Consider the following 25,142-nt stretch of genomic DNA (forward strand, 5'->3'; position numbering starts at 1 on the left):
TAGGCAGCTCACGTGGGATTTCATGAATCGAGGCCTTAGCTCCTCAAGGATACACATTTGGGGAAAGGAAGCCCTACGCGATGCCAAAGATAGTGAACACCCTGTGGTCTGCTTAATTTACAGGACAACAAAAAGATGAAGAAATCTCTAGAGGAAGAACAGAGAGCCCGCAAAGACCTGGAGAAGCTGGTGAGGAAAGTCCTGAAGAACATGAATGATCCTGCCTGGGATGAGACCAATCTATAAGGGATGTCCTCAGTTCTTTCTGTTGAAGACCAGTTCTGAGGTGAAGCTGGGCACCCCTGACCCAAGTCGGGGTGCACTCAGGACCACAGGGCAGGGCTGGGTGGGGCGCCACCTTGCTCTCTGTATATAGAAAAGCTGGAGCTTATTCTGCGAATGGAGACGATCAAACCATGACTGATGAATCCAGACAGGAGGGATTGACTCTGAGGACCTGAGCTACATCAATCCACTCTGTGAACATCTCAGTTACCTCATTCTGCAATAAGTTCAGTGACTGACTAAAAGTCTTGTTTTTCCAGACTTTGAATTGAATATATAAATATTATATATACATGTTTCTTGTAAATATCCCATTTTGAATGCATACCTGTGGTGGTTCTGTCCGGGCTAATCCCCATGCTAGAATGTCCTTTCCAGCTACGTGAATAAGAAGTCCCATGCCCGCATCCACCGGAAGCAGAAGCCTGGTGGATGCCTGGTTCGTTCCGCAGCACCAGGGCCTCCACCGTGCTGTGGCAGCACCCCCCATGTCGGTATTTCTAAATAACCTTATTTATACCTGCAGAGATACACTTCAGTCCCATTCAGAAGTCTTCTCTTAAAGCAGCATTACAGTCCCAGACCTGCGGGTTTCTGAGGGCAACTTGCTGGCTGACAGACTCAGTCTTGACCTCAAGGAAGGCCCATACGGCACTGCCGCATCCACCTAGAGGTGTTTGCTCTTGTCCGCTGTCTGAGTACTGTGATTCTCAGATGAGTTTGCTGCGTTTTGGGAGGACACAGACGGTTCTGTATAGGCTAGTTCAGTAACAACAAAATACACTGTTTTGTCTTCCCTCAAAGAGAGATCTTACTAGAACCTGTAAATAGAATGTATTATTTATTATAAGTCACTGCAGCTGATGAAAACAGATGGAGGCCATGCTGCAGGCTGATACTGATGGGTGGAGTTTTGTCATCAGGCCAGCCTCATCCCGAGGTCTCCTCCACCATTGGCCGTAGCCAGCAGGCTTCAGTGCTCACCGAAAGTAAAATCCCCTCCTTCAGCAAGAATAAAGCAATATACACCTTAGGTTCCACTAAGTAACATAGGCATAAGCAGGGAACGTTTCCCCCACTGTGTTCCAGTGCAGAGGAGACGAAGCCTGTCCTCACCGCGGCTCGCTGGGCCCAGGCTGGCTCTGGAAAGCCTGTGCGGTCCTGGGCAGGAAGCCCGGCCCGTGGAGCAGGTTTTCGTTCTGCTTCAGCAATAAATAAGGGTGACCACAGGGACTTTGCTTTTGGTTTCCTTTCCTGTGAAAAGGTTGGTTTTAAAGTGAGATACACTTTTCCGTAGAACAAGTGTTCTATCTTTAAAAACCCAAATTGCAGCACCGTGGATTACTGGTCTCAGAACAACTCATTGCGCATCAGATTTGACTCTCTGATTTTCTGTCTATTGGCCAAATTGCCCTTTAACTGCACCTGAATCCTTTGTGTACTGATGCCTTTGAGCTGGGCACCTTGGGAGAGTGTTGTGTTGCTGTTTACGGTTCTTCCTTGCCCTTGCTAATTACAGTCTCTGGTGCCCAGCAAGCCCCTTTGGCTTCCTTCCGTGACTGGTCACGTTGTCTGCCTGGGCTCAGCGTGGACCTGCCCCATGCTGCAGAACCTGGCCTCACCTGGACTTTTCACTAGAATTGCCAGCTTCCTCAACTTAGCAGATCATTCACTCATGCGGGCACAAGCAAAGATCAACACTTTCTTTTTTGGTAAGCTTGAGTTTTACAAGTTATTTTTTGGTGATGCGTAAGACATTGCAGTGGGAAACCATTCAACTTGAGTTTATTGGAGTTTGCTGTTGTAGCAGGTTTTAACTCAGGAACAACTCTTGTCTGATCTCTCCGCCCCTCTGCCGGGAGGCGACATTAACTGTCCTCTCGGAGCCGGTAGCGTTGCTGTCCGAGTCCCCAGGACGGATCTCCTGCAGACCTGCCTTAATGCTCAGATCGAAGTATTTCACAAGAATACTTGTGTTTTTAACAGCCCTTCCCCTGGACGGTGCGGCCATGAGGGCCTCATGTTACGGCATTGCCTTTTCTTTCTGTGGATCCAGTATCTTCCTCGGCTTTTTAGGGAGCAGGAAAAATGCGTCTGAGAGCAACTCTTTTTAAAAACCTGCCCTGTTGTATATAACTGTGTCTGTTTCACCGTGTGACCTCCCAAGGGGGTGGGAACTTGATATAAACGTTTAAAGGGGCCACGATTTGCCCGAGGGTTACTCCTTTGCTCTCACCTTGTATGGATGAGGAGATGAAGCCATTTCTTATCCTGTAGATGTGAAGCACTTTCAGTTTTCAGCGATGTTGGAATGTAGCATCAGAAGCTCGTTCCTTCACACTCAGTGGCGTCTGTGCTTGTCCACATGCGCTGGGCGTCTGGGACCTTGAATGCCTGCCCTGGTTGTGTGGACTCCTTAATGCCAATCATTTCTTCACTTCTCTGGGACACCCAGGGCGCCTGTTGACAAGTGTGGAGAAACTCCTAATTTAAATGTCACAGACAATGTCCTAGTGTTGACTACTACAATGTTGATGCTACACTGTTGTAATTATTAAACTGATTATTTTTCTTATGTCACAGAATGTGTCGCTTCGTCTTCTTTGATGTGTTTTCTGTGTGCTTGTTAGCTTTACAGTTTCTTTGGGCTGTTTTAGATTTGAAAATTCTGTCTGTCTTTGATACTGAAGATAACATGTTTCCTTTAAAGTCTAGAGTTTGAGAAAATTTGAAGATTTTTTTTTAAAAGACAAGGAAAGAACACTGGAAGTCTTAGGAACAAAAGCTGAAGTAACAGGTCACGCTGGTAGGCACAGCCCCCAGGTCCTCACCCATGCCTGGAGGAATGACCTGCATTCTGGAAGGCGCTCAGGACACCGTTTTGTGGGATCAAGTAAGCGAAACTTTCTTGAAGATATCTGTGGGGTCCCTTTTAGGAGCTGTCATAAGACAAAAGGAAATTGCTCGTGTGTGTCCCTGTGTGGCGGTGGTGCAAACGAGGGTGTCTTCCGGAAGGGTGGCCGGGAGGACCAAGCGGGGTCTCCTGTCCATGGTCCGTGTACCTGGCTCAGGTGTGTCTACAGCTCCGCTGCATGTCATTTCAGCCAGCCAGAGGTCAGGTAGCCACACGCAGTGCCCAGCCCACTGGCTTATTGTAGGAGCTCAAAAGAAGTCAGGATCTACACTTTCAAGGACTTTAGTCATTTCAGGTTAAAACAAGTAGGCGTTCAAAAACCCATTTCTGTTGATTTGCATTGTGACAAGAACGTGCGATGCATAAGACACCTAATGTGAATTGTTCATCTTACTGGTGGAGTAGGTAGGCATTTGTACTTGATACCTCACCAGTAATTAAAAACTAGGATGTACCTGAGCCATGTATACCGTTTTTTAACTGTACACTTTTTAAAGGTATACTGGGCCATGTATACTTCATTTTCTTGCAGAACTATTTATATTTTTCCCATAAGCAGGTATTATTTTCCTAATTAAAAACTAGCATGTACCAGAGTTTTTAATTGTTAAAATAATACCTGTTGATACGGAAAATAGAAACAGTATACCAGGATACAAAGTAAAAAGCATGTATTCTGCCTCCCAGCGCCCTGACCCTGTTCCCCAGAAGTAGCTCCTGTTCTGCGTTTAGGTTCTTCTGTTCATTCTTCTGAGCAAATGCCAGTGTGTGGTGTCTGTGTTTTAACTTTTTTCCCAGCAAGTGAGATTGCATTAAGTATATTCTTTCCTAAGTTGCCTCTTTGAACCTTATCTTTCCATATGGGTATATGTAGTTTGAACCATTCATCATTTTTGACCACTGCATAAATATTCCCCTGATTGAGTGCCCTGCAGTTTGTCACCTATGAGTGGATATTTGGGAGGGGGCAGTCGCTATTGCAGAAATGCTCTACTGAATATCCTTATGTATACAGCTGTGCAACTGTGCACATACAGCTAAATGATTAACTTCTGGAAACGTTTGTGCATTTTTAACTTTGATAGAATTTGCCATATTTTTACAAGGTGTTTTGGAAATGACAGCCTTGGCAATTGTACAGTTCTAGTTTCTCAAAGAAGGAATGGGGCCATGATGGCATGGGAAGCATGCTCTTCGTTGTGATGCTTTCCCATGGAAGCCGTTGACTCCGAAACATGCTCTTCGTTGTGATGCTTTCCCATGGAAGCCATTGATTCCAAAACATGCTCTTCATTGTGATGCTTTCCCACGGAAGCCATTGATTCCAAAACATGCTCTTCATTGTGATGCTTTCCCATGGAAGCTGTTGACTCTGAAACATGCTCTTCATTGTGATGCTTTCCCATGGAAGCAGTGGACTCTGAAACATGCTCTTCATTGTGATGCTTTCCCATGGAAGCCATTGATTCCAAAACATGGTCTTCATTGTGATGCTTTCCCATGGAAGCCATTGATTCCAAAACATGCTCTTCATTGTGATGCTTTCCCATGGAAGCCATTGATTCCAAAACATGCTCTTCATTGTGATGCTTTCCCATGGAAGCCGTTGACTCTGAAACATGCTCTTCATTGTGATGCTTTCCCATGGAAGCCATTGATTCCGAAACATGCTCTTCATTGTGATGCTTTCCCATGGAAGCCATTGATTCCGAAACATGCTCTTCATTGCGATGCTTTCCCATGGAAGCCGTTGACTCCGAAACATGCTCTTCATTGTGATGCTTTCCCATGGAAGCCGTTGACTCCGAAACATGCTCTTCATTGTGATGCTTTCCCATGGAAGCCGTTGACTCCGAAACATGCTCTTCATTGTGATGCTTTCTCATGGAAGCCGTTGACTCCGAAACATGCTCTTCATTGTGATACCTTCTCATGGAAGCCGTTGACTCTGAAACATGCTCTTCATTGCGATGCTTTCCCATGGAAGCTGTTGACTCCGAAACATGCTCTTCATTGTGATGCTTTCTCATGGAAGCCATTGACTCCAAAACATGCTCTTCATTGTGATGCTTTCTCATGGAAGCCGTTGACTCCGAAACATGCTCTTCATTGTGATGCCTTCTCATGGAAGCCGTTGACTCTGAAACATGCTCTTCATTGCAATGCTTTCCCATGGAAGCCATTGACTCCGAAACATGCTCTTCATTGTGATGCTTTTTCATGGAAGCCGTTGACTCCGAAACATGCTCTCCATTGCTGACGCCTTCCCTTGGAAGCCGCTGCCCCCACACGAGCATGGCTTTGAAAGTGGGGAAGATTGGGGTGGGTGGTTCTTTCCTGTGCCAGGCTCCTTGCTCATCTTTCTAAGGCATATCAAACTCGCCCTTGTCTAGGGTCATGACTTCCTGCCTAACCTGGCCCCTTCCACTCCACGCTGCTCTAAAACGTGGCAAGTGGGCAGGGCCTTCCTGCTAACTCCTGGGTGCTTTTAGAAAATGTCAGTTCCTGTGCCCCCCACCCCCACCCCCCACCTAAGGAGCTGATTTCTGAGGGTGGGATCCAGGAGTCTGCCTTTTTGACGCACCCCAGTGCTGTTAGTGCCTGTAGTAACAATGTACTGATGCCCATTTAGGTGGGCTGCTCAGTTGAGGTCTTCTGCATTTCTGTGCATGATGGTTACTTAGTGTCTGGGCAGCCAAAGGAGAAGGGCGTGTGACCAGCCTGTGTGCAGGAATAAGCCCGGCACCCCCAGCACTGCCACATCCTAGTTATTCTGGAGGCCACACCTTCTTTGCCATATCACTAAGAGCAGTTGCTGCCTGTCGTAATTGGAGAGGGTCATCCATTCTAAAACATGTTCAGGTTTTACAGCTGTTAAAGTGCTTTGAGAATCGGGGGAGTTGAGATGAACTATGGCATTGGGGGTCAGTCCTGTCTCCAGCTCTCCACAGTGGCTACATGGGGTCTCACAAGTGCAACCCCACTTCCTCCTCCTTGGCCCTCAGAGGATGTTGGACTGCTTACAAAAAGGTGCAACCTGCTGCGAGGGAACTGCCTCCACCTCTCACCACACTTAAAAACCTGTCACCATCTGTCCCGCTGCTCTGTCTTGTTTCGGTGGAAGAATTCGCCCGAGCCCCCAGCCCCATGGCTTCCTTGCAGGCCTGGGAGCCTGTGTCTCTTCTCCTGCCTTCCTGAAAGCCAGACCCTTCTCTTGGCCGCTATGTCTGTTGTGTTTGTTTCTTATGGAAAATGTCAAGCTTGTATAGAAGTAGGATAATGAGTGATGATTGCTCTCTGAGATTTATGAACATTCCAGGCCCTGTGACTGCTGGTCTGTTCTAGAATGAAGGAAAATGGCTGTGCAGTCCCAGGAGAAAAATGCTATGATCATATGATTATATTAATACATTTAGTTACAGTTCAGTATCCATTTGTGGAGATGAAACCAATTGCAGACCAGGAATAAAAGGGAATTTCTTCAGTCTGATTGAGAACAGTTACCAAAAAACCTATCAATATACATATAAGAAGGCTAGTAACGCTCACCGGCTATTCCCCAGGCATGCTGGTGGAGCAAGGCAAGGAAAAGGGGGAGGGGAACAGAGGTTGTAAAGAAACAACTACAATTGCCACGACTTCCCAACTATACTGTTGTTTATGTAGAAAATACAAAAGTATCCGCAATTAAATAGAATTAATAATGCTGCCAGATACAAGATGTAGCAATTTTCTCTAAATCAGGAACAAATGGAAAATATAAAAATCTTTTCAGTAGCAAAGATGTCAAATAGGAATAAAATGAAAAATATGTAAGACCTTCATGTAGAAAACTACAAAACACTGTTGAAAGAATTTAGGGAAGGTCTAAATTAACAGAGCGATGTGTTGATGGTTAAAGGACTGCATGGAAAGGCATCAGTTCTCCTTGTTGATTGTTGGAGGACTGCATGGAAAGGCGTCAGTTCTCCGTGTTGATGGTTAAAGGACTGCGTGGAAAGGCCTCAGTTCTCCATGTTGATGGTTGGAGGACTGCATGGAAAGGCATTAGTTCTCTGTGTTGATGGTTAAAGGACTGCATGGAAAGGCATCAGTTCTCCGTGTTGATGGTTAGAGGACTGCATGGAAAGGTGTCAGTTCTCCGTGTTGATGGTTAAAGGACTGCATGGAAAGACATCAGTTCTCCGTGTGGATGGTTAGAGGACTGCATGGAAAGGTGTCAGTTCTCCGTGTTGATGGTTGGAGGACTGCATGGAAAGGCATCAGTTCTCCTCTGTGTTTATGGTTAGAGTGTAGAAAGGCATCAGTTCTCTGTGTTGATGGTTAGAGGACTGCATGGAAAGGTGTCAGTTCTCCTCTGTGTTGATGGTTGGAAGACTGCATGGAAAGGCGTCAGTTCTCCGTGTTAATGGTTAGAGGACTGCATGGAAAGGCGTCAGTTCTCCATGTTAATGGTTAGAGGACTGCATGGAAAGGTGTCAGTCCTCCGTGTTGATGGTTAGAGGACTCCATGGAAAGGCGTCAGTTCTCCTCTGTGTTTATGGTTAGAGGACTGTGTAGAAAGGCATCAGTTCTCCTCTGTGTTGATGGTTGGAAGACTGCATGGAAAGGTGTCAGTCCTCCATGTTGATGGTGAGAGGACTGCATGGGAAGGCGTCAGTTCTCCGTGTTGATGGAAGACTGCATGGAAAGGCATCAGTCCTCCTCTGTGTTGATGGTTAGAGGACTGCGTGGAAAGGCGTCAGTCCTCCATCTTGATAGTTAGAGAACTGCATGGAAAGGCGTCAGTCCTCCATGTTGATGGTTGGAGGACTGCATGGAAAGGCGTCAGTTCTCCGTGTTGATGGTTAGTGGACTGCATGGAAAGGCGTCAGTTTTCCTCCGTGTTGATGGTTAGAGGACTGTGTGGAAAGGCATCAGTTCTCTGTGTTGATGGTTAGAGGACTGCATGGAAAGACATCAGTTCTCCTCCGTGTTGATGGTTAGAGGACTGCATGGAAAGACATCAGTTCTCCTCCATGTTGATGGTTAGAGGACTGCATGGAAAGGCATCAGTTCTCCTCCGTGTTGATGGTTAGAGGACTGCGTGGAAAGGCATCAGTTCCCCTCCGTGTTGATGGTTAGAGGACTGCATGGAAAGGTGTCAGTTCTCCGTGTTGATGGTTAAAGGACTGCATGGAAAGGCATCATTTTTCTGTGTTGATGGTTAAAGGACTGCATGGAAAGGCATGAGTCCTCCGTGTTGATGGTTAGAGGATTGCATGGAAAGGCATCAGTTCTCCACGTTGATGGTTAGAGGACTGCATGGAAAGATGTCAGTCCTCCATGTTGATGGTTAGAAGACTGCATGGAAAGGCGTCAGTTCTCCGCGTTGATGGTTAGATGACTGCATGGAAAGGCGTCAGTCCTCCGTGTTGATGGTTAGAGGACTTCATGGAAAGGCATCAGTTCAATTAATTGCTTGGTGGACTCCGTGCCAGCCATTCAATTCCTGTGAGTTTTTTACCGCTTTTCTGGATCTTGAAAAACAATTTATGTAGAAGTGCAAAGTGCCAAGAACAGCTGAGAGCCTCGTGCAAACGCAGAGCAAGGCGGGAAGACATGCCGTGCAGGATGACGAGGTTTAGGCAGCCAACCCAGGGGTGGTGCCCAGGGAGGGACCGCTGGAGATTACACCAGGGGTCTTGCGGCAGAGCAGTGGGGAAAGGACAACGTTTTCAGTCAGTAGTTCCTTTTAGCCAGCAGTTTTTCCACGGGGGTGAATGTGAACCTTGACTCCTCCCTCACACTGTGCCCATTAATCTTAGGTGGATGTTAAATGTAAATGTGCAGGCGAGGCCGAGCGTGGTGGCTCATGCCTGTAATCCCAACACTTCAGGAAGCTGAGGCAGGCGGATCGCTTGAGCTTGGGTTAAAGACCCCATCTCTACTAAAAATACATGCAAAAAATGCCAGGCATGGTCATGCGTGCCTGTGGCCTCAGCTGCTTGGGAGGCTGAGGTGAGAGGATTGCTTGAGCCCTAGGGGCAGAGGTTGCAGTGCGCTGAGATCGCACCACTGCACTCCAGCCTGGGCAACAGAGCCAGACCCTGTCTCAAAAACAAAAATGTGCAGGGGAAGCGAGAACCCTTTAGAAAATAATGTAGGAGAACATCTTCATGACCTGAGAGTTAGGAAAGACTTTTTAACAGGACACACAAAGCTCCGATCACAAAAAAAGATTAATAACTTTGACTAAAATGAATGTAACCAATGATAAACTGCTTAAACCACAGAGAAGATGCAGCCGTGCCATCTTCTCAGTGGCTGAGTAAGAGCACCGCACACCAAGGGCCACACCCAGCCTATGTAGCAAATCAATAAGAAAAAGACAATTGAGACAAGGTAAAAGATTTGAAAGACATTTCACAAAGAATATAAAATGGCCGGTCAACATAAAAGGTCTTTGATCTCATTTATAATTGGTGAAATGCAAGTTAAAGGTAAAAATTACACTATTAAAATACCACTAAAATGATGAATACTGTCAAGTATTTTCGAAGGTGTGGATGCTGTTGGTTGCAGAGTGACTTGGTATAAGCACTTTAGAAAAGAGCCGGGCATCATCTGCCGCAGATACTCCGCTCCCACATGCATTCGTTTGCTAGTGCTGCTGCTGTGACCGACTGCGTGCCTCACCTAGCATCCCGAGTGTGTCTCTGTCTCTGTGGGTCAAGAGTCCAGGCATGGCAGAGCTGCAGGTCCTGCTTGGGTCCTCCCAGGCTGACATTAAGGTCTCAGAGGGACCAGGTTCTCTGAGCTCGGGGCCTTTTCCAGGCACTCACACAGGTGGCTGGCAGCATTCGCTCCTTGTGGTGGAGGGATGGAGGCCCATTTTCTTGCTGCCCATTGGCCAGAGGTTGCTTTTGCTCCTTGGCTGCTAGTCATTCTCTCTGGTTCCTGCCCCCTGGCCCCTCACACATTCCAAACCCAGCAGGAGAATCTCTGACTTCAGCCAGGACAGAGCTCCGAATTTCATGCCATAATCACAGGAGCCAGGATCACACCGACTTTGCCTTACGATGCAGCCTGATCCTGGGGGTGACCCCGCCCTATTCACAGATCCCAGGGGTGACTGCGTCCTAGTCACGAATCCTGGTGGTGACCGCATCCTATTCACTGGTCTTGGGGGTGACCCCATCCTATTCACAGATCCCGGGGTGACCCTGTCCTAGTCATGGACCCCGGGGGCAACCACATCCTAGTCACGCGTCCCAGGGGTGACTCAGTCCTAGTTACGGATCCCAGGGGCAACCCCATCCTATTCACGAACCCCAAGGGTGACCCTGCCCTATTCACAGATCCTGGGGACAACCCCATCCTACTCACTGGTCTTGAGGGCAACCCTGTCCTAGTCATGGATCCCAGGGGTGACCGTGTCCTGTTCACAGATCCTGGGGGTGACCATCCTGATCCTGCCTGGACCTCACAGGGTCGGGGGCAGACACCGGGGGCAGGAATCCTGTGGCGTCTTTGAATTCTGCCCACCATACCATGTAGTGTCACTCCTAGGAGTATGCCCCACAGAAATGACCCAGATAGTTTGAATGGATAAGTGGTGAAAATGCACATGTCAAACCAAAGCTCTGCTCCTCAACGTGGGTGATGCTCTGAACGTAACATTAAATGAAAGAGGCCAGGTGTAGAAATACACTAAATTATTCAGTTTATGTAAAGTGTTAAAAAAAGTTGAACCATAGCATATAGGGATGCAAGCTTAGGTGGCAAAAGTGTAAAGAAAAGAATGTGATTCCCCTAAACACCAGGCCTGTTTTGACCAGGTGGAAAATGCCCTTGGGATGGAGTTTTCTGACTTGGAGAGGTAAGGGAACATGGCAGACTCGGGGCTCATGGGCCTTCCCTGTGTCACGGGGGGACCTCCCACCCCAAAGGGCTGCCACAGTTAGGATCCTTTAAGCTTTTCAAGAAGGCGGGCGCATCTCCGGTGCCGTTCTCTGAGTGAGGAACACGTTGACAGAAGTGGGTTGTCCAGATATGATCAAGGCAGGGGTCGAAATGGACCTCCTGATGGGAAGTCCCTCTGGGAGGAGTGTCAGCTCCCAGGCAAGGGCTCGCTTTGCCCCTCCATGGCACTGACCTGCTCAGGGCCTCAGCCACCGTGAGTGCTGACTCATGGGAACTTTGATTCTGGGAATGAGGCTGTCAAGGCGCAAGAGCGTTGCTTTTGTTTATGGATTTGGAGAGAGTGCTGGGCTCTGAAACTGTGTACATGAGAGCCTCCTGGAGCATCCATGGCCCCAGAGGAGCCACACGCATCCGTGGAAGGGTGGAGAGGACACTGGGGCCCCAGAGGAGCCACACGCGTCCATGGAAGGGTGGAGAGGACACTGGGGCCCCAGAGGAGCCACACGCATCCATGGAAGGGTGGAGAGGACACTGGGGCCCCTCTGGCTGAGACAGCAGAACAAGAAATGGGGAGAACAATCTCAGATTTGGTTTTTTGGTTGTTTTTTGAGATGGAGTCTTGCTCTGCACTCCAGGCTGGAGTGCAATGGTGTGATCTCGGCTCACTGCAACCTCCGCCTCCCGGGTTCAAGCAATTCTCTTGCCTCAACCTCCTGAGTAGCTGGGACTACAGGCACTCGCCACCAGGCCTGGCTAATTTTTGTATTTTTAGTAGAGGCGGGGTTTCACCATGTTGGCCAGGCTGGTCTTGAACTCCTGACCTCAGGTGATCCACCTGCCTCGGCCTCCCAAAGTGCTGAAATTACAGGTGTGAGACACCGCGCCTGGCCCAAACTCAGATTTGAATTTAATTTTATTTCTTTGGGCCTCGGCTTGCAAAAGCAGGGAGATTTAACTTGCAGACATTAATTTTCCCAAAAGTTCATCAAGAAAGAGTTCGTATTAGGATATGTGGTGTCTGCGTGTTGATGACACTGCATCATCAGAACGTCTGAGTCTGCCTGAGTTGTCACGTCCTTGTGGTTAGAGAGGGCCCCACATACATGCCAAGTATCCTGTATTTGCCCCTAAGAATGAAAAGGGGTTACTCTTGTTCCCTGGTGTGTCTCATGAGTTTTGTTGAATACTGGACACTTCACATCAACTCTGGATTCCAGAGGGCAGTTATTGGAGTTTTGTTTGTTAAATAACATGTCTGGACAAAATCTGTGATGTCTGCTCCCTGTCAGTGTGGGGCACAGATGTCGGCACTCAATTTTTGCTGGGGGCAGAGGGGGGATTGTTTTAATTCTGAGTTTTGGTGGGTTTTGCTCTTTGCCTGCAAGATTGAGCTGGAGACTGGGCTGAGGCTTGGCTGGAGCTGCTGCTCCCTACACAGCATGGCCTCCACTCTGCTAGGGCTCTGTGGGTGGGCTGGGAGCACATGCACCTCTTCCTCCAGCTCTCTGAGTGTGCCCTCTGGGCATGTCCCAGCAGCACCTGGCCAGGGAGGCAGGCTTGGGCCCTCCAGTGCACCCGCCTGCGGCCTCCCCCAGCCCCTCCTCCCTGGCCCCGCCCTGCTGAGTCCTGCAGGGCCCCCGTGCTTCACTAGCCCCGCTTTTGGACACCCCGCAGGGAAGCACCCCCAGTGGAGAGCTGGGCTCCACTGTGTTTCCACCCCTCAGAGTCCTCGGCTGTGCTGTCTTCTCTTCAGTGCCTAGAAGCAAGAACCATGCTCCTTCCCTGGGTGGCCCCAGCAAAGCCCCGCAGACTGCATGGCCTAAACTGCAGAAATGTGTCGTCTCCTGGCCTGGAGCCCAGGGCCCAAGCTCAGGGTGTCAGCAGGGATGGCTCCCTCCGAGGCTGTGCAGGAGAATCCGCCCAGGCCTCTCCTCCAGCTCCTTGGTTCGCTGCCGTCTTTGAGGTTCCTTGGCCTGTAGACGCCTCAGCCCTCTGCACTCTGTGAGGCTGGCCCAAATCGCCCCCTTCATAAGGACACCAGTCACATGGGATTAGGGGTCCGCCATCTGACCTCACCTTAATGCAGCACATCTGCAAGACCCTCTTTCTAGACAAGGCCATGCTGAGGTATAGGGGTCAAAGTTCCAGCATATTTTTGTTGGGGGCAGACATAACCAATAACACCAGCCTCATACATTTGCTCAATTTTACAGGTGAGTTCTCCTGGAAGAAGAACCTGATGCCAGCCATCTGTCAAGGAAGACAGGAAGTAACAGTGCAGGCTCAGTAAGTATCTGTTGGATGAATAAAGGAAATTAGGGATGACATCCTACAACCTGAGGAAGGTGTGGGGCATGCACACGCCTCCCGCCACCCACACCACCCTCTGCTGCCTCGTGGAGCCCCCGCTGTCTGCCCTGAGGCTGTCCCATGCGCAGCTCCTCAGATGCTTCCTGGAAGGAGTTCTGTGCACTGTGGGCTGTGCCGTTGCTGCAAGACGGTGGCATTTCCTGGCACTTCTGAGTTAGAAAGTGCCAGTTATTTCCAATGTTTTCCAGACATTGCTGGAATTCCATGACCAAAGGGCAAGGGCCAGGGAGTGTAACGCTGGGCCCGGGTGTCAAAAAGTGCTGTCCACAGTGGCTGAGAACAGAGTGAAACCAGTGCTGCCGCACACACAGAATCCTTCAAGGACCCTCGCTTTTCCCTTTTCCAAATACCGGATGCACATTGTCTGGGCTCTGGCTGGGCTGAAATTGATGCTGTTTTAATTTCTTTCTTACTGTATGAGTCTGTTTCACACTGCTATAAAGATACTACCTGAGACTGGGTAATTTACAAAGGAAAGAGGTTTAATTGACTCACGGTTCCACATGGCTGAGGAGGCCTCAGGAAACTTACAATCATGGCAGAAGGGGAAGGGGAGGCAAGGCACCTTCACAAGGTGGTGAGAAGGTAAGGAAGTGCCACACTTTAAAACCATCAGCTGTATCATGAGAACTCACTATCATGAGAACAGCCTGGGGGAAACCACCCCCACGGTCCAATCACCCCCCACCACGTCCCTCTCTTGACATGTGGGGATTACAATTCGAGATGAGATTTGGGTGGGGACACAGAGCCAACCCAGATCACTTATTTAGATGCAATATTTAATTAACGTATTTTATTCGTAAAGAAAGGTGGCTGGCATCTAGTAGCTGGGAGGAGGCCTGTGGGTGGTGATGCTGCCGTGTAACATTCTCCGCCAACAGCTTCACGGAGTGAGGAATCATCCCGGGAGCCGTCCACTCTGAGGCCGTAGGGGTGAGGGTCTGCCTGTGAAGTTGGTGGCCTGCTGTCACCCCATGCTGTGGCGAAGGATTTGGGTGTAAATGGAATCAGCTGTCTTGTGTGGTTGGCAGCAGCATGTAGGGAATGCAGGAAAGCCAGGCCTGAGATGGCGTTGCCCTCTGGTGCCCTGGTGCTCAGGGTGGGGGCCACAGGCTCTGGTGTGTCCCCAGGCCCACCTCCAGTCTACAGTGTGACAGACCTGGCGTGCTCCTCCGGCCTTCGTGTTGTTTTATTTGGGGTTGCTTTCTAATGGGAATACTGGACAGGTGTTGAAGATTTGGAAGTATCTTTGCTCGGTTTATTGTCCCAGCGAAGTCATCAACACGGGCGTGTTTGCTTCCTGCGGCTGCTTTCACACAGCAGCACCGACATGGCGCCAACAGCAGAGCTTTCTTCTCGCTGGCTCTGCGGCCACAATCTGAAGTCAGGACGTGGGCCGAGGGTTCTGGGGAGGGCCCTCCTGCCCCTCCCACCCCAGGGCTGCTGGCAGTCCTCCGTGTTCCGGGGCTCGCAGGCGCCTTGCTCCTTCTTCACCTCTGTTGCTGCACAGCCGTCCGTCCCCTCCCCGGGCCTCTGCGCCTGCACTTGACACCCTCCCGGTGTCTCTCTCTTCTCATCTTAATAGGACACCGGTCCTATTGGACAGGGCCACGCTTACAACCTCAGCTCGATTACATCGGCAAAGACCCTATTTCCAAATAAGCCCTCATCCTTAGGTCCTAGGGGTTAGGACTTCAACATCTCTTTTTTGAGGAAACACAGTTCAGCCTGTGGTGATGGGGAAACTGGACTCACACCCCTGTCTAGGAGCCCCCCGAATCCCCTGCTCTCAGCCTGGCTGAGCTGCTCTGCTGGGAGTCAGGTCTGAGTGCTTTGCTCAAGTTGTTAGCCAAGTCCGTTACAGGGTTAATAGCTTCATAGTTAGGGGTCCTCAGAGGTAACGGGTCCCCGTGGCACTTGTCCTATTTCCAAAGAACCCCACGGCAGCTCCACACATTCCCATGGGAAGACTGCACAGTCTACCCCTGCAAACATCTTGCTCTTAGCTAAAATTGTGTCTGTCAGTGTAGTCACTGGTTATCACGTGGGAACGGGACTCAGGACCCATATAGACAGAGCTGAGTCCATGCTGGCTGCTCCGTCCTGTGGCCTGCTGGGTTTCACTCTTCCACGGCGTGGCCTCTCCCTAGAAGCCCTTGGTGAACACCCCTCTCCCTGTGAGTCTGGGGCAGTCCCTGCCGCCCCCAGCCAGTGGCTCCCGCAGCTTCCCGGTGCTGGCTCAGTCCTGGCAATGACCACACTGCAGGCTCATCTGTCTCCACTCCTTCCCCGGAAGCTCATTGATGACGTGGTTCTCCAGCCGACTGCTGCCCAGGTTGGTGCCTGCTGTAGGTGACAGTTCCCAGGAGAGAGAAGCAGTGTCTCTGCCTGGGAGCCTGCACGCAATGCTGGTGGGAACGTGAAATGGTGCAGCCACTTTGTAAAATAGCCTGGCAGGTCCTCAGAGGGTGAAACAGAATTCCTGTATGTCATAGCCCATCTGGACTGTAACAAAAATGCCACAGCCTGGGTGGCTTATAAACAGCGGACACTTTTTGCTCACACTTCTGGGGGCTGGAAGTTCTAGATGGAGGTGTGGCAGATTTGCTGTCCTCCGAAGTCCCCTTCCTGGCTCATATCCGGCGCCTTCTCACTGGGTCCTCATGTGGAAGAAGAGGCGAGGGAGCTCTCTGAGGCCTCTTTAATGGGGGCACGATTCCCATTCGTGAGGCTTCACCCTCACGACCTCCTCACCTTCCAAGGCCTCGCCTCCTAATCCCATCATCTTGAGGGTTGGGATTTTGACTTGTGCATTTTGGGAGGACACAAACATTGGGTTCTTCCCAGCGTGTGACCCGGCAATTCCACTCCTAGGGATATACCAAGGATAAGTGAAAATCTACGTCCACACAGAAACTTACATTGAGTGTTCCCAACAGCATTATTCATAAAAGCCAAAATGTTGGCCCAACCCAGTGCCCATCCACAGACGAATGACTAAGCGAAATGTGGCATGTCCCTGCAGTGGGATATTATTCAGTCGTGAGAAGGAATGAAGCTCTGACACGTGCTACATAGCAGGTGAACCTTCTGCAACATGAAAAATTCAGACACATCAACCCAAATTGCGTGTATGTGTATGCTTCCTGGGCGTGTCCCCTAGATGCCTCCTCTGTCCACCTGATGCCCACAGCACCAGCCTCCAGCCCCCCAGCAGCGTCCTCGGCTCACCATTGACTTTTTCTTCTCTTGCTCTCCACATCCAAGCCGTCCGCCACTCTTATTAATTGATTAGTTGATTGACACAGTGTCTCCCTCTGTTGCCCTGGCTGGGGTGCAGTGGTGCAATCACAGCTCACCGCAACCTTGACCTCCCAGTCTCAAGCGATCCTCCCGCCTTGCCCTACCAAGATTCTGGGATTACAGGTGCGCACCATTATGCAAGGCCCACTCCTTCAACTCAAACCATGAAAAGTAGCAGCCCCCTCCGGCAGTTGCCTGCCTTCTTCCTCATGAGTATCCCGTCCTTCCTGCTCACAAACCTCCCGACAGCCGTTTCCAGCACAGCAGAGTGATGCTGTGAAAATGATTCCATTTCTCGCACAAAATCTGCTAGTAACTCCCTACTTTGCTCAGAATAAAGGCCACCATCCTCACCATGACCCATGTGGTTTCATGCCCTGCCCTCCTGCGGCATCTCGGCTCCTTGTGTCTCTCAAGTCGCCACACCAGCCTCCCCCCAGGACCTCTGCATGCTCCCTCGTCAGCCCCAGACACACCTTCCTCCCTGGAGGCCGCCTGCCCACCCTGTGGCAAGGGGCAACCCCTGCCCTGATCCAGCCTGGCCCACGCCCTGAGTTTGCCTTCTCCCCACGGCCCGGGCCTGGTCCGAGGCAGCTACGTCACTCTGTCCTCTCCCCAGGAGGGAAGGGATTTGGTTTTGTTCTCTGCTGCACCCAGTGCTGGCTGGCAGAGAGGGGTGTCCCAGGAAGGACCGGGACACAAAGGAAGGGAGGGACAGGACTCAAGCACCTGTGCCCACAGGCTTGGTGGGCAAGGGGCGGGGGTATCCTGCAGGGAAGGTGGGACTCAGCCCATGGTGTCCCCAGCAGCGTCTTGCCCCTGGAACTCCCTCCCTACATCTGTTCATCTGAGTGGCCTTCGTCCTCAATGCAGCCAGTGTCAAGGTGGACACGCACACGGCTCCGAAGTCCTGTGTGACGCCCACGTGACCTCATGAGGCTGTGTGATGTCACAGCGGGCGGGGTGGTGTGTGCCCAGCCTGGTCCCACAGTCCATAGTGAGCGGCAGACAGAGGGGTGGCCAGTTTGTTGTTTTACCTAAAAGGTGTTTTCCACGTGGAGTGGGACTGAGAGGCACAGGTGGCTGAGGGGACCCGCCTGGGATGTGAGGCGCAGGTGAGTCGATGAACGCCCCCTCCTGGTGTGAGCCGCCCGCTCCCCAAACGACGTCCCCAGGGCCCCGCCCGTGCTGACCTCTCCTGTTTTCCAGGTGTGCTCGGCCCCTTCATCTGTCAGCTGCAGCAATGGAATACGTGCTGGAAGTGAAGAACTCTCCGCGGCACCTCCTGAAGCAATTCACAGGTATGGAGGGAAGGCGCCAGGGGGGCGGGTGGGGTGGGGGAGCAGTTGGGGGGGGGCACAGGGAGGAGCTGTTTGAGCCCCTGGCGCGGACAGGGGGTCCTGGTCCCAGACCTGGCTAGGAGGGCAAGGCAGCAAAATGTGTGTTCAGGAAATAACCTGGGAAAACGCTGTGAAGACTTCATTTTTGAAAATTTTATTACAAAATACACCCGAACCTGAGGTTTTCTAGATGAAGAAATACATTTAACTATTTCCAGGGCTTTAACAGGTCAAAGGCATTTTGTCCATGAGGCGCTGAAGATCCACTTCAACTACTTCATAACTTTTATTGCAGGAGTGACTTTTTTAATTAAGGAAAAATATTTATCAGCAATGAAGAAGTTCCACCTTCCCTTTCCCCACCCGGGCAACTGACCCGGAGGCAGACACTCACCACTGGGACTGGAAGGAACCACCGGTGTGGGATGTGGCTTCTCCCACAGGTGCCGTTAATGTGCATAGATGGGGGATGACAGTGACTTATGGTCAGGAAAAGGAAGATTCTGGAAGTTTGCACCTCCCCCGGGAGGCAGGAGATGCCACCTTCCATGGCTCAGGTTTACCTGCTACTTGAATGTTTTTTTCTCAATGGATCTTGTGTTCATGCAATGCTTTTATAAAACAACAACAACAAAAACAAAAAAAAACCCAAGAAAATCGGATGGGCGTGGTGGCCTGTAATCCCAGCACTTTGAGAAGCCAAGGCAGGTGGGCCACCTGAGGTCAGGAGTTCCAGACCAGCCTGGCCAACATGGCGAAACCCCATCTCTACTAAAAATACAAAAATTAGCCGAGCGTGGTGGCGGGTTGCCTGTAATCCCAGCTACTTGGAAGGCTGAGGCAGGAGAATCACTTGAACCCGGGAGGCAGAGATTGCAGTGAGCTGAGATTGTGCCACTCCACTCCAGCCTGGGCGACAAAGCGAGACTCCGCCTCAAAAACAAACAAACCAAGAAAATGGAAGAAAAAGAAAACAAATTAGATTGTTTTGGGTTGTTACCTTTGTTGGGAAGGTAGGCTAGGGAGCACCTCTCAGGCTGGCCAAGATGCTGGCAGCCACTGAGCACCTGCCCACAGCAGCACCTGGCCCTGCAGCTCTCGCAGCGGGACAGGGCGGCCCAGGTGCCAGGAATGTGTGGCATCTGCCAGACTGCGAGGCCTTCCAAGGCCACCAGGCCACCAGACTTTGTCACACCAGGGGGGCAGCTATCTCTTTGGACAGGAAGAGGGGTGTCCACAAGAGGGGTCTTTGCAGTTCCCTATCCAGATGCACCCAGGGTGGAGTGGGAGGCCTGCGCCTGGGGCCCCGAGGGAACGGGCCGCTCTTGTGGACGGCTGGGGTGGCCCCTCTCATATTCTGGCAAGATGGCCTGTAGCCAGGGCAAGCACGGGGGAGAAAGCGCTCCCTCTTCCAGGCCCTTGGGGGCCACCCTCCTGGTTTCTGCTTCAGGGCTGTAAGCAGTGCAGCTGTTGTGTGTACAAGCTGCTGCTGCTGGGCCTGGCCACCCCGTCTGTGAGGGGCTGTCAGGGGCTGCTGGAGGCTGGTGCCACTTCTCAGGGTGCATGGGACTGGTGGGGGTCATCTCAGGTGTGCCAGGTCACCCAAGGCACTGCCCAAGCTGACCCTGGGCTGGAGTCATCTCACCTTGCCATGGCCATGCCCAGGACCCAGCTCCTGGTGTCTGCAGGCGACACTCCTGTGTGCTCCCCACACAGCCTGTCCTCGTGAACTGAAGAACGCATGCAGGGGCGTCAGCATTGTCTTTATCATTCTTTGCACACTGTGGCGTGGCTGTTTTGCAACTGTTTCTATTCCTTTAGGGGTGTAGGGAGGCTGTGAAATGACAAGGTCAGGGTCTTCCTGGCTTGGAGTTGGCTCAGGTGTCAGCACCACCGGTGGCCTCAGCGGGCAGGTGGGGAGCTGGAACCTTTAGCCACAGTGGCTGGCCCTGGCCCTGCAGCTCAGGCCCTCTCTGCCACCCACCCCTGGGTCTGAACCCAAGAAGCAGCCTAGAGGAATTCCTCCTGTCCTTCTCTGCGCAACTTTGCAGATGTGGAAGAGACTCTGTGGCCGGGTGCAGTGCAGACTCTGGCCTCCAAGCCCACCCACTCTGCAGCCTCTTCCCATGTGGGTGCAGAGCCCTGCACGCCTCCCCTTCCACGCAGCCCTGCTGGGCTTCCCCATGTCCACACTCACTCATCCGGGACAGGAGGCAGCTGGGCCTCCAGACAGCCCCCTAGCAGGTGATGGCCTGAGGCTGGCTCCCAGGGCACCATGTTCACATGGCCCTGGATGGCGGGTGACCTGGGGGTGAAAGAGCGGAAATGAGGATGGGAGGATGACAGGTGGCCCCTGGGGAAGAGGCGTGTGTGGGGCCACTCAGCCCTGGCTGGAGGCTCTGCCTTACTGCGGGGATACAGCCTCGGCTGCTGCCTGTCAGCTGCTGCCTAAAGATTAATGTCAATTCTCTCCCTAAATAAAATAGTTTCTGCAAAAGTGCTTTTAAACTGTGACACACTTTCCACACCGGTGTGAGTTCTTCTCTGAGTGGCTTGTATGAAAGAGTGGGGACTCGAAGCCACTGCTTCTTCTCCACAGGCTCGGGGGTCTGTGGACATATTTGGACTCTCTGTGTCCGAATCCCCGGGATCTGTGGTCCTGCACACCCCAGATCCCCATCCGTGGTTCACACGTGCTCCAGGCAGGAAGGCCACACACATGAGCCTCTGCACACACAGGGATCCGTGGCCCTGCACGCCCCAGATCCCCATCCGTGGTTCACACGCGCTCCAGGCAGGAAGGCCACACACACGAGCCTCTGCACACACCATGCCAGCTCCCTGAACCTGCTGTGATCCCTGCCCAGCTTCCTCCTCCTCCTCCTTCTCACCTCTCCTTCCGTGTTCTGATGCTCAAACTCCGGGAGAACTGGTGTCTTCTGTCCAAAGATAACTTGACATGCAGCTTCAAGCTCAGTGTCAAGAAAATGGGTCTCCAGGTTCAGAGATTTTTATGTTGTTTATGACATCTGCTGTGAAGACACATTCAGCCGGATTCCAGGTGGTGTCACAGCTCACAGACAGAAAGGGGTGTGCAGTCTGGGCCCGCTGAAGGTCCTGGGGGTGCTGGTGGCAATCGTGACCGCAGGCACGTCTCTGGAGTTCCCACACATTTCCTGTCACCACTGTACTCAGAATCTTGTCTTCTCTTCCCGCCTGGACCATCTTTGGAAACCTGTCTGTGGTTGGGTCTTGCTGTCCGTGGCCACGCTGCCAGGAACCCTCAGCTGGGACATTCTAGTGGGCCGCCGGGCAGTGTGGCTTGGAGGTGTCCCCTGGAGGCCAGCCTGATGCCTGCCTTTCTAGGGGAGCAGCTCCCAGCAGGGAAGCTGAGCCTCAGAAGTGCTGGAAGCCTCCACGGTGCTGTGAGGTCATGGCTGCTGAGTCTGCCAGCTGCTTCTCCAGGAGGCGACCATGGTCTGTCCCCTGCTAATTGACTGCTTCATCGGGAAACGAGGTGGCAGAGGGACTTGGATGGGGAGTCACACTGAGGACCCGGCGCTGCCCTGAGAGAGTCTCTGGGCTTGACTCCTCCCCTAGGAAGAATTCCTGCAAGTGTGCGTTTCACAGAGAGAGGGCAAGGGAGGTGGATGGAGCACAGGAAGGAGAAACGCCAGGGAATCGTCAGCCACACTTAAAATGGTGACGCCTCCCCACCTGGATCATCAGCCACGTTTAAAACGATGATGCCTCACTGCCTGGGTCGGAAAGCCCTGGCCTCAGATCTGCACCTCTCTAGGCACCATGCCCCTCCTGAACCTTTCCTCTCCTGCTGCAGAAGCAGCAAAATGCAGAGTGAAGAGACTTTCCATGGCCTTGGAGAAAAATAACGGAACGTTTACCACCGTGCTGGCGTGGGCGTGTTAGAAGCCTCAGGAGGTGGCTGGCGGGAAGTGGGATGAGCGAGGGAATGAATGGCAGCCCCACTGTCCCTGGGGAGCGGTGGCTTCCCTGGGCTTGCTATCCACGCAGACGGGGTGACGGGACAGATTCATGGGATGAGCTTTGAAACCTCACTCCACGGGCCCCCATCTCACCTGGCACCCCTCAGCCAGGGTGGCTTCTCCCAGGAAGCACTCGGCTCATTTTAGATTGATTGGTTTAACCCCAGTCTCGTTTCAGTAGATCAGGAAGAACGTGGTTGCCCCGCCATCCTGAGGCAGCGCCTCCCCGTTCCCCTAGCCTGGCCCAGCCGATGGCTCCTCTCCCTCTTCCCAGCCACGCTGTCATGACTCTGGGAGAGCACAGGGAGAGAGCCAGGCAGTGAGCCCTGCGCTCCAGCCGTCCTGGCTGTGGTGTGGGGGGTGTGGAGGGCCTACTGGAGATACCACTGCTGGTGCCAGTGGCCGGGAGTCCAGTACCTGTGCAGTGGGCGAGCTGCCAGTGATGTTTCTAGAGGGAGCAGGGAGCTGCATCAGCCCTGCCGATCCCCCACCATGTGGGAAGCCCACCTCGGCCCCCTTGGCAGCTGTGACCTGGTGCCTGCCCAGAAAGCCTCAGCTTACTCCAACCTCAAAGCCTGTTAGGGGTTGTGGAGGAGGGTGGAGGGCCGGGCTAGGAATGGAAATGCGTGAGAGACTTTTCAGGGTCTACTGGATTTTTAAAATGCATGGCGACATTGTGGAGGTGCGTGCAGGAAAATAACGGTGGGTGTGGAGGGAAAATGGGACACCGGAGGAGGCGCGGGAGGACTGCCGGGATTCGACGGCTGGGCGGTCAGATGCGATGGGGACTGAACTTTTAAAATGAGAAAGAATGTATGAACGTTTGTGTAGTGATATTGAAGAGAACAAATCACTTTATGAATAAAAATAATGCTTCGTTCAGTGGCATATTTCCTGCCCAGTCTGTTTGCTGAAATTAAACATCCGCTGTCACCTGGAGCAAGTCTTCAGAAACCTTTGTTCTCCTGGCTCTGTGAGCAGATGCCTCTGTGCTGCTGGGGCTTCTCCTCCCGTGTCTGGGGACGGTGGGGAGGGCGCCTGGCACTGTGGAGACAGCAGGACCCTGAAGCCAGAGGTCTCTGTGGATCCCGGCTCCGCTGCGTCCAAGCTGGTGGGATCTTGGGTTTCGTCTGGATCTTCCCAGATGGGGTGGAAGAGCGTTCGGGCATCACGAGCTGGGTGCTGGCTGGTGTCTGCTGGGGTGGAGGAGACTGCGGGCAGTGTGAGCCTGTCTGGTGGGGTGGAGACTGCGGGCAACGCGAGCCTGGCGCTGGTGGGTGTCTGGTGGGGTGGAAGAGACTGCGGGCAGTGTGAGCCTGTCTGGTGGGGTGGAGACTGCGGGCAACGCGAGCCTGGGGCTGGTGGGTGTCTGGTGGGGTGGAGGAGACCGCGGGCAGCGTGAGGCTGTCTGGTGGGGTGGAGGAGACGGTGGGCAGCGTGAGCCTGGCGCTGGTGGGTGTCTGGTGGGGTGGAAGAGACTGCGGGCAGTGCGAGCCTGTCTGGTGGGGTGGAGGAGACCACGGGCAGCGCGAGGCTGTCTGGTGGGGTGGAGACTGCGGGCAACGCGAGCCTGGTGCTGGCGGGTGTCTGGTCGGGTGGAAGAGACTGCGGGCAGTGCGAGCCTGTCTGGTGGGGTGGAGGAGACCACGGGCAGTGCGAGCCTGTCTGGTGGGGTGGAGACTGCGGGCAACGTGAGCCTGGCGCTGGCGGGTGTCTGGTGGGGTGGAGGAGACTGCGGGCAGTGCGATCCTGGCGCTGGCGGGTGTTTGCTGTGCAGCTGCTGTCATCACCTGCGTCAGAAAGTGGAGGCAGTGGCGGACTCTGTGGGTAGTGTTTGTGAAGTTCTGGCGCTGTGTCCACCCTGGAATTGCACTCCAGGAAAAAGGCCGTGGTGCCTGGATGCCCTGGGAGCAAAGCCCTCCTAGTCACCCACTGTAGACACATGGGCTGCTGCATAGAACGTGGGGGACCATCTGGCCAGCCACAGCCCGAGACCAGTCACCCACCCCAGGCCCCTCTGAGCCTGGCTGTGCAGTACCTGCCTGCTGCTATGGGGCCTCTTCCGGCCTCCCCCGACCTCTCCCTACATGGTAGGTCAGCTCAAATCACACACAGCCACCCCATGCAACTGAGGGAGGAGAGGGTGGCAGCAGCCGGTGACTTCAGCCTGCCCTGTGCACTCTGCCTTGGCAGGTGCGGCATCGCCTCGGCAGGGCTCCCGTGTCCATGATGCTTCTGACAGAGGATGAGGGCTGCAGCCGCAGCATTTGCAAACCTGGAATGGGGGTGTCTTGAGAAGGGGAACCTGAAAGACTAAATCAACCCTAAGGAACACAAATGGGGCTCCTCAAGGGTCAAGAAGGCCGGGCAGCTCCCCTCCCGGCCCCTGTCCCAGTGGAACAACTTACAGAGGGGCCAGGGAAGACCCCCAGTGGCTTGGGTGCAGCCTTGGCCTGGGGCATGGAGCCTGGCTTTGTGGGACTGCAGTCCACCCAGCAAAGGTCTCTGCGGGCACCCTGGGCCCTCACCTGCAGGAACCCCCTTCATCATCCAGCCCAGTCCCTCGGTGGCCCATGGCCGATCAAGGCAGCCACATCCCTCGGGGCTGAACATGTGTGAGGCTGCTGAACTCCTCTGGAAAGGGTCGTCTGCCAGGAGCTCTCCCCGCCCTGCTTCCTTTACCTCCCACGGCGCGCCGCACACTCATTGTCTTCCCTTTTTCTCCCTTTGGGTCAAAACTGGCATTAAACTTTCTGTCCTTTTGATTCAAGTTTTAAAATTCTGAAATAATCCTCAGGCCATGCTGCTAATTCTAACTCCTGTATGCTTAAGTGTGAAATAATTACACGTTCCCTCCCGAACTCCCAAGCAGCCATTGTGTGAGCCCCGCGCTTCTGTGGGCTCTGTCGTGCGCCGTGCCTGGCGCTGCTGCGCGGAAATGTATTATCTCCTAATCGTTAGAGGCCCCTGCATTATTCTGTGTAATTAACTTGACATTATTTTGCTCAGAAATTTAAT

At 52.6% G+C, this 25,142-nt stretch overlaps 2 protein-coding genes and 1 long non-coding RNA gene across 45 annotated transcripts in view, besides 3 other annotated features; 2 read left to right on the forward strand and 1 right to left on the reverse strand.

Moving 5' to 3' along the window:
- The window catches only part of ARHGEF7 (Rho guanine nucleotide exchange factor 7), a 191,116-nt gene extending 188,249 nt beyond the window's left edge, over positions 1–2,867 (forward strand). For 29 of the 41 annotated variants that reach the window (XM_047430722.1, XM_006719956.4, NM_001320852.1 and 26 more), the window contains one exon: positions 124–2,867. In XM_047430722.1, coding sequence (XP_047286678.1) covers positions 124–246 — 123 coding nt within the window. In that variant the 3' untranslated portion in view covers positions 247–2,867. The remainder of the gene's footprint in view (positions 1–123) is intronic. The other 12 variants (NM_001354046.2, NM_001354051.2, NM_003899.5 and 9 more) reach the window with 1 other exon arrangement.
- Positions 1,387–1,456: an enhancer, noted in NCBI's record as "active region_8030". NCBI's record gives its function as "activates an Ori minimal core promoter by ATAC-STARR-seq in GM12878 lymphoblastoid cells {active_cell/tissue: GM12878}" and the evidence as "EXISTENCE:reporter gene assay evidence [ECO:0000049][PMID:35858748]".
- Positions 1,537–1,596: an enhancer, noted in NCBI's record as "active region_8031". NCBI's record gives its function as "activates an Ori minimal core promoter by ATAC-STARR-seq in GM12878 lymphoblastoid cells {active_cell/tissue: GM12878}" and the evidence as "EXISTENCE:reporter gene assay evidence [ECO:0000049][PMID:35858748]".
- Positions 12,752–13,307: an enhancer, noted in NCBI's record as "H3K27ac-H3K4me1 hESC enhancer chr13:111967966-111968521 (GRCh37/hg19 assembly coordinates)". NCBI's record gives its function as "activates a minimal SCP1, AML or CMV promoter by ChIP-STARR-seq in primed H9 embryonic stem cells {active_cell/tissue: H9 hESC(primed)}" and the evidence as "EXISTENCE:reporter gene assay evidence [ECO:0000049][PMID:30033119]".
- TEX29 (testis expressed 29) overlaps positions 13,318–25,142 on the forward strand; it is a 28,064-nt gene continuing 16,239 nt past the window's right edge. For 2 of the 3 annotated variants that reach the window (XM_017020387.2, NM_001303133.1), the window contains exons 1-2: positions 13,318–13,390; positions 17,990–18,081. In XM_017020387.2, the coding sequence (XP_016875876.2) occupies positions 13,344–13,390; positions 17,990–18,081 (139 nt within the window). In that variant the 5' untranslated portion in view covers positions 13,318–13,343. Of the gene's footprint in view, positions 13,391–17,774; positions 17,896–17,989; positions 18,082–25,142 lie in introns of those variants that run through there. The other variant, NM_152324.3, reaches the window with a different exon arrangement.
- Positions 16,075–16,825, reverse strand: LOC105370365 (uncharacterized). Its single transcript, XR_001750031.3, has 3 exons — positions 16,709–16,825; positions 16,232–16,347; positions 16,075–16,137 (listed from the first exon to the last, which is right to left on the reverse strand). It is a non-coding gene; the product is annotated as an uncharacterized LOC105370365 (long non-coding RNA).

This window comes from Homo sapiens, chromosome 13, assembly GCF_000001405.40.
Source record: "Homo sapiens chromosome 13, GRCh38.p14 Primary Assembly".
NCBI classification, from domain to species: Eukaryota; Metazoa; Chordata; class Mammalia; order Primates; family Hominidae; genus Homo; species Homo sapiens.